The 8094-nt window shown below is 48.9% G+C and overlaps 1 protein-coding gene across 1 annotated transcript in view; it reads left to right on the forward strand.

Moving 5' to 3' along the window:
* The window catches only part of EHD3 (EH domain containing 3), a 35300-nt gene that overhangs the window by 1347 nt on the left and 25859 nt on the right, over window positions 1-8094 (forward strand). The gene's annotated exons all lie outside the window — the stretch shown is intronic.

The following is an 8094-nucleotide window of genomic DNA, read 5'->3' on the forward strand; positions in this document are numbered from 1 at the left end:
TTAAAGACGCTTAGAGATGGAAGGGATATTGGCATTGTCTCATCCAGTTGCTGAGTTTGCAGGTGAGATAACCGAGGCGCAGAGAAGTTAAATGAATTGTGCAGAGCCATCTAAAGAGTGGGCAGCAGACCTGGGATGTTAAGTCCTAGATGCATGTGAGGAGATGCTTGGCTAAACGCCTGTAACTCTGAGAATGAGTCATCCATTCCCTTCAATTACAGAATCCTTGGGCTGGAGGGAGGCTCAAGAAGTCAATTTGTTCACCCTGCATTCAGAGAAGTCCACCAGAGGCCCTTCTTATCTTTAGAGAACAGGCTTCACTCCAGTCCTCAATCTTCCCAACTTCAAGGCCAGCCATTTTCTTGGCCCCTTTTATAGCCATTCCAAATTGTTGAGAATGCTGTGGCCCTCTGTCTTAAGACTCAGGCTCCCACAGCTTGAGAATGGAGTTTGGTGGCCCCCCAAAGTCAAGTGTGCTCATCTCCTGCAGAGGGTTTGGAAAGCAGGGGTACCCTTATTCCTATTCCTTGGCTGTTTGAGCATCCACAGCATGTGAAATGCTGTGCTTTGTTTGGTGAGGAGTGCAGAAAAGTTAACAGTCTAGTTACTAATTTTCTAGGTACTAATTTTCTCTAACATCCACCTTGTAACGCCAGCCTTCTGGAAGTAGCACCATGCTAATAGGTCATGTCTAAACACAACACCACATTGAGTTTGTCCTTGTGGAGTGCACAGCCTAGGGCTCAGCAGCTTTAAGAGGCCAAGTGATTTCTGAAGGAGTTTGGGAGGTGATGGGCCTGTTGGCTCTTGTATGTTTTATATTGATAGAACTGCAAGAGGCCTTAGAGATTAAACTAATCCATTGCTTCTTAACTTTCTATCTTTAGAAAAATGTACGTACATCCCAAATTTGCATATAATGTTGGGGGTCCAAGGGCCTTCTTTGGACTTTAGGGTGGGAACCCCTGATCTAAGCCATGCTTCTTGTTTTATTAAGCACCCATTGCTGCCAAAGGCACTTCAGAGCTGCCTGGGTTGCCTGCAGAGTTTCCTTTGTGAGCCCTGGCCTCCACTTGGCCCATTCATGCCTCAGGGGAAGTTCAGGCCATTTGCAGATGGCCCTTGCCCTCTCAGCCTTCCCTGGCTCTCTACACATATGGTATTTATAACCTTTCATACATTATCTGTAGCTTCTCCTTCCTGGTGTACAATCATTGACAAGACAACATCCATGCCTTAGCATCTCTGGGGCCTTGCCCAGGGTCTCGGCTATAGGAGGTTCCCAGTAGACATTTTGCAGAATGGGAGGGAAGATGGGGAGAGGTGAGGATCCCCAAGCAGCAGACAGGTTTGAGCGCCTTTTGTCTGAGACACTCTCCCGGCTTTGCCTAAGTCATCACTGGCTGTTAACTGGGTCTAAGAAAGTGGCAGAGTCAAATTGCCACAGATGATTCCTCATCTGAGGGAGACAGTAAGACCGGGAGAGGCAGATCGCTCTTCTTTCTTATCCTCCATGTGCAGTAGTTCCCTCTCCCCACTCATGTCAGCAACTGAATTTAGCTCATGCGTCAAAAGCTGTCTCCCCTTGAGGGAGTGTCAGCCAGCGCTGTAGGAGGGGTCATACCACAGGGAACCCTCCAGAACCAAATCATGTACTTTTCTTCTTTCTCATAAAATCCAGTAAACAGTTGTTTTTAATTGGAAAATATAGAAAAGAATAAATTTAAAGAAGAAAAAAAGTCACCCATAATCCCATGACTTAGGAGAAGCTATTTTAATTTACATATAAAATATATTTATATATAAAGCATATAATTTATATATAAATATATTTCCAGTATTTGTAGCTATTTTATAGCACAGTTGAGATCATGCTATACATATAATTTTGTATGCTGGCTTGTTTATTTTTGTTTTTGTTTTTGAGATGGAGTCTCACTGTGTCACCCAGGCTGGAGTACAATGGCACAATCTCGGCTCAGTGCAACCTCCGCCTCCTGTGTTCAAGCAGTTCTCCTGCCTCAGCCTCCCAAGTAGCTGGGGTTACGGGCACCCGCCAACACGCCTGGCCAATTTTTGTATTTTAAGTAGAGATGGGGTTTTGCCATGTTAGGCAGACTGGTCTTGAACTCCTGACCTCAGGGGATCCACCCACCTCAGCCTCCCAAAGTGCTGGGGATTACAGACGTGAACCACTGCGTCTGGCCAGTTTTTCTTACTTATAGCATGAACATTTCCTATGTTATAAGCGTTATTTGTCAGCATTATTTTTAACAACTGCATACTATTTCACTATTTGTATATACAATTATTCATTCAACTAATGAATAGCATTGTTTTTAACAGCTGCATACTATTCCATTGTGTGTATATACGATTCTTCACTTAATCTACTTCTCTTGGATGTTTTAGGCTATTTCTAATTTTTTGTTATTGTAGAATAATTCTGAATATCTCTGTGTATAATATTTTTTCCTATATTGTGTGTGTGTGTTTTTTTTGTTTGTTTTTGTTTTTGTTTTTTTGAGATTCCCAGAAGTGGAATTGCTAGGCCAAAGGTTGGGCAGGGTTTTGTTTAAAATATTTTTTAACTTTAAAATTTTTGTACTAAGAGTCATATTTTGCAGTTGTTTTCCGAGAGGGTGAGTTGACACTGCATCCCTTCCCCATTGCGAGTAAGGCTGCTCTGGGGTGGATAAGTGCGTCCATGCCTAGGTCTCAGAAGGCCTCCTCCTCTCCCTTCTCCCATCCCTGCTTCTTGCCTTGATTCTTGTCTCCATGCCAGGCCTGAACCTGTGAGGGGCCTTTTCCTCAGAAACAAAGATTTGCCTCTTTATTCCCCCAGTTCTTGGCGTTTTGCCCCTGAGGGTCCATCCACTTTCAGTAATATGTGCTTGCCACAGCGTCTATTTCTTGTCTGAGGAAGAACACACAGAAAAGGACATTCTTTTAATAACTAGTTAATGTGCTGTGATCTCTGCCTGAAATAACTTCCCCGGCCTAAGGCCCGGCAACACAGAGTAATAAAATGAACAGTAAATTGGCTTGGCGGCTGCCCTCTCCAACACAGGCTGCCTCTTTGGAGTACAGTAGCTCTGTGTCCCTCTGGCCCTGGCAGCCTTTCCTCCTGCCTCTGCTATTCTTCTCCCTTTGCTATTTCTCTGCCCGGCATGCAGCCTTGAATCCCTCCTTCCTTGGACCATCTGGCCCCTGGTCACTCCTTCTCGCTGCCTACTTCTGTGGCCCCTTATTCTGCAGGTAGTGGAGGTGAGTAGCTGGCTGCTCCAGGGGCTGAGGAAGGCCTGAGTACTTCCATGGGCCATGAGGGAGGCCTCCCTGGACCTTGGCAGAGCTGAGAGAGAGGCTCTAGTGGATTGGCTGTGGGGCCTGGGGCTGCAGAGCTAAGCTGCCCCGGGCTCCTTGGGGAGGCTGGGCTGGTCTGGAGGGTTGCACGGACCTTCTATCGTGTGACTTGGACTCTTGAGGCATGAGCACTTGGTAGGGCTGCTGGGATGGGAGTCCATCGTGAGGGCTACTGAGCTGGCCCTTTCAGCTTCTCCCACTTCAGGAGACTCTGCAACCTCCCACCCCAAAGGTGCCTTCGCATTTGCTGTGGCCGCACCAGCTCTCATCACCACCCTGACATCCCCACCCCAGGCATTACAGCGCCACTGCGCCGGGAAAGATGGTTCTCCAGAAAGCCAAAGGGATAGAGTGAGAGGGCCACCACCCCAGTAGACCCACTCACTGCAAAGTCCATCCTGGCAGGCATAGCCCCTGCACCACCTTCAGCCCTGTCCACCCACCAAGGCCAGGGGATGTCCTTTGTCTGATAGGGTTCTGATCTGCTGGGTCTCTAAAGGGGCCTGGGTGAAAATCCACCTGCTTCTTACAAGGCCTAAGTGTTACACAAGGAAGCAGAAGGCCTTAGGCCAGAGGAACTGTGTCCGCGTGCCTCGGCCTGGCTTAGGGGCTGCCTTGAAAGTCAGGTGCCTGGCAGTCATCAGGCAAAACATTTACTGGGAGGAGAAAGACCTTTGGGGAAAGGTCTCCCTCCCATTCCCATTGACAGTGGGACGAAGGCCATGGAACACAGTCCAAGTCAGCAGAATCCAGCTCCACCACTTCCTGCCCAGGGACCTGGTTAGGAAGGTCTGACAGAGGTCAGGCCACCTCCCCTTTCTGACCCGCAGTTTCCTTATCCATAAGATGCGAATAGTAATAACCGCCTCACAGCATTACTGACCGGATTCGGGGTGGGGAGGGGGAGGCAGAACCAGTTTAGCACCAGCTGTGCTCCAGGCACCGCGCATGGGGCTTTATCATTTCCTCTCCTCTCTCGAGCTGACTCTAACAGGAGACTTAGAGGCAGGCTCTCAGGAAGGTGCGGGAAGGCCCTTCTCCAGCACGAAGGGGAGGGCTGGAGAAGGGGCACGTCGCTGAGCTCTGGGGACGGTGCCGGGTAGTGCCCTGGGCGGGCTGGCCTGTCGCAAGGAGGCTGGACTGTCTGGCCACCAGATTCTCCTTCGTGCTGGAATCCCTTCATCACATGGCTGAGGGTGCTTTCGACAGGGCCAATTATAGCTGCTCCAGGGAACACGGAGCTGACTCATGCCTCAACTTGGCCGTGGAGAGTCTCCCATCCACTTTCTCGCTTGTGTCTGTGGGATGCGTTACAGACTCCCTCAAACCCCATGAGGCCGACAGGGCAAGTATTATCATCCTGGACTCAGTCTGTCCTGTCTCCCCTCATTCTTGTGCATCCCCGTCTCTGCTGTTCCCACCCTGGCCTGAATTAACTTTTCTTTTTTCACACTGCTGTGGGAATGTTTTCTCCTGGCAACAGAGGCAATCTGTATCGCTTCCCATAAAGAATCAGTGCATGAGATTCCTCAATAGATTTTTCCTTTCTGGACACAGTGGTGGCTTTGTTACAGGGGCACCTGCTGCTGTAAGCCATACCCAAATGTCCCTGAGAATTTACCCCACCCGACTGTGCTGCCTGGACTTGCTGGTGGCCTCATTAGACTCAGTGTTTCCCCAGACCCATGTGTGGTCAGCAAGTTTTGGGTCATGTGGGTTTAGCAGGACAAACTCTAGGCCCTTGCCTGACCACCTCGGGCTGCAGCCCTGTAACTTCCCCGGAAGCCACCCTGCTAGGCTGGGAAGCCTTCACTCATCTGCTGAGAACACCACGTCCCTCTCAGGGGTAGAATTTGAGACGCCTGTGTGAGAAGGATCCTTCATTGCTGCTGTTTGGCCCTGTTCATTCTGGGCATTTTTGAGGCTGCCTCAGAATGGTTCTTTTCAGCCCTCTCTATTTCAGCTGTCCCTGGAGCCTTTGATGATCCCTACTTCCCGCAATCCACTGTTGCTGCTCCCTTGCAGAGCCCTGCTTAGGGCTTCTCATCCACACACTCACTAGGTCAGGTGCCTGGGCAGGCAAAGATAGATGGGGTTTCCCAATCAGGGTGGAATCTTTCTCGTGAAGGGTAATCTTGGCCGACTGTTTGTAAATCCAAAAGTGTCCTTTTAGAGCCCATGGAGCCAGGGACCTGCTCTGATCATATGATAGCAGCAGCTTTGGGATGCCACACCCCAGTCACTGAGGCCAAGCAGGGAACCCCACAGCTGATATTTACAGAGATGAGTACACTCCTGCGTTTGTGGGCCTCAAAGCCTCACCTCTCCTCCAAGGCCTGGCCCTGCCTGCCTCCTGCCAAACCATATTTCTTTGTGGCCTTCTTGTCCCATTCATCGTTCTAAAAGGGAGCTCAACCCTTTTGGCCTGTCCCTAAAGATGGCTGCATTTCCTGGTCAAGGCAGGAAAGGTGAGTGTAGTGGTTAGGAGCGTGAACTCAAATCCAAGGGCCAGGTTCAAATCCTAACCCTGTTACTGTTTACTGAGTGCATCACCTGGGGCACCTTTATCTCCTCCTCCTTCAAATGGAATGATAATCTAGGTAATTTAAGGTACTGGTTAAATGCTTAACTTCTGCAATGAATTTAATCCCCAGAACTCCCTGTGAGATAGGTTTTCTTATTAGGTCCATTTGATGAGGAAGAGCATAGTGCTGATATCATAGTATGTGGGAAGGTGAAACGAGATAATCCATGGAAAATTTAGAACAACGTCCGGCACATCGCAGGTACTCAGTCAGTCTGAACGATTACCCGCCATGTTATGGAGTGAGGTACTGAGGTTCCCTGAGTTAAGTACCCCCTGAAGAGCATAGCCCTCAATGTTAGAGAAAGCAGGTTGGCTGGCCCCAGGCCACTGAGATTCACAGCTTCTCCCAGGAGGCCCTGAAGGAGAAGGTATTCTGAGAAGGCAGGAAGTGCTAGCCAAGGGTGCAGCTGTTAGGATTCACTCTCATCACAACCTCGGTGCCAGCTTTCAAAGTGATCCTCTGACCAGGGGAAATCCTGCCCTCTCACTCTGATTATTGAACTGGGATCTGGAGAGATGAGGGGCTTCCCAAGACAACCTGAAACCCATCTGTGCCCTGTGTGGCGGGTGGCCTTTGGACAGGAGGGCTCCAACTCTCAGCAGATCAGCAGCTTCCTCCAGGGCTGGCTGCCGAGGCTCCTCCTTGGGGACGGAGCCCACAGCAACCTGACTTTAACTACCATGGAACTGCAGAGTAAATTCACAGCTCAGAACGCTGCTCAAAGGCACAAATGGGATGTTGATGAGTGGGAGGAAGCCCTGGCAAGCCTCCCTGGCCACCACCCCTCTGTGCAGACCAGGCCTGCTGCTGCAGTCCACCTGTGCACATTACAACATCCTTCATGGTTACAAAGCATGCACACGTTGTGGGGAGGGGTGTGTGTGTGGGTGTTGGGTACAGAAGGAAGGCATTGACAGATAGAAGGTAACTTTTTGACACCTGTTTAGGTAGTGCAGGTAAAACACCAAACACATTTAAAAACATAGCACAATTATAATCTTTATCTGGGAATCCCACCATATACTATTACATTCGTAATGAAATTGCCTAATACCCAAGGGCACAAGGGAGGACTCATTTGCTGAACATACCTATTTTGCCAGGTACTATACAAGGCATTTTGAATGTAGTCTCTTCTTTGAAAGTTGGAATTAAATGGATAATGACAAGAAAGATAGAATGAAAGGTGTGCAGGTTGCTTCTATGCTAAAAAATAAGATCAGGTGGCTGGGTATGGTGGCTCATGCCTGTAATCCCAGCACTTTGGGATAGGCCGAGGCAGGTGGATCACCTGAGGTCGGGAGTTCGAGACCAGCCTGGCCAACATGGTGAAACCCCGTATCTACTAAAAATACAAAAAATTAGCCGGGCGTGGTGGCGGCTGCCTGTAATCCCAGCTACTCGGGAGGCTGAGGCAGAAGCATCACTTGAACCTGGGAGGCGGAGGTTGCAGTGAGCTGAGATCATGCCATTGCACTCTAGCCTGGGCAACAAGAGTGAAACTCCGTCTCAAATAATAAATAAATAAATAAATAAATAAAATCAGGTCAGGCACAATGCCTCACACCTGTAATCCCAGCACTTTGAGAGGCCAAGGCAGGCGGATCACCTGACGTCAGCAGCTCAAGACCAGATTGGCCAATATGGGGAAGCCCCGTCTTTACAAAAATACAAAAAAATTAGCCAGGCATGGTGGCAGGCACCTGTAATTCCAGCTACTTCAGAGGCTGAGGCAGGAGTCTCACTTGAACCTGGGAGGTGGAGGTTGTGGTGAGCTAAGAACACGCCACTACACTCCAGCCTGGGCGACGGAATGACACTCCATGTCAGCAAGATAAATAAATAAGATCATAAATGTGTAGATCTGCATGAACACTTAATAACATAGTACTTGTGTGCATGGGACATTTCTGGAAGAATACAGGATACAAAATACAGATACTAGAGGGTAGGATAGGATGGAGATTCATTTTTCTTTCTTTCTTTCTTTCTTTCTTTCTTTCTTTCTTTCTTTTTTTTTTTTTGAGACAGAGTTTCGTTCTTGTTGCCCAGGCTGTAGTGCAATGGTGTGATCTTGGCTCACTGCGACCTCTGCCTCCCGGGTTCAAATGATTCTCCTGCCTCAGCCTCCCTAGTAGCTGGG

This window comes from Homo sapiens, chromosome 2, assembly GCF_000001405.40.
Source record: "Homo sapiens chromosome 2, GRCh38.p14 Primary Assembly".
Taxonomy (NCBI): Eukaryota; Metazoa; Chordata; class Mammalia; order Primates; family Hominidae; genus Homo; species Homo sapiens.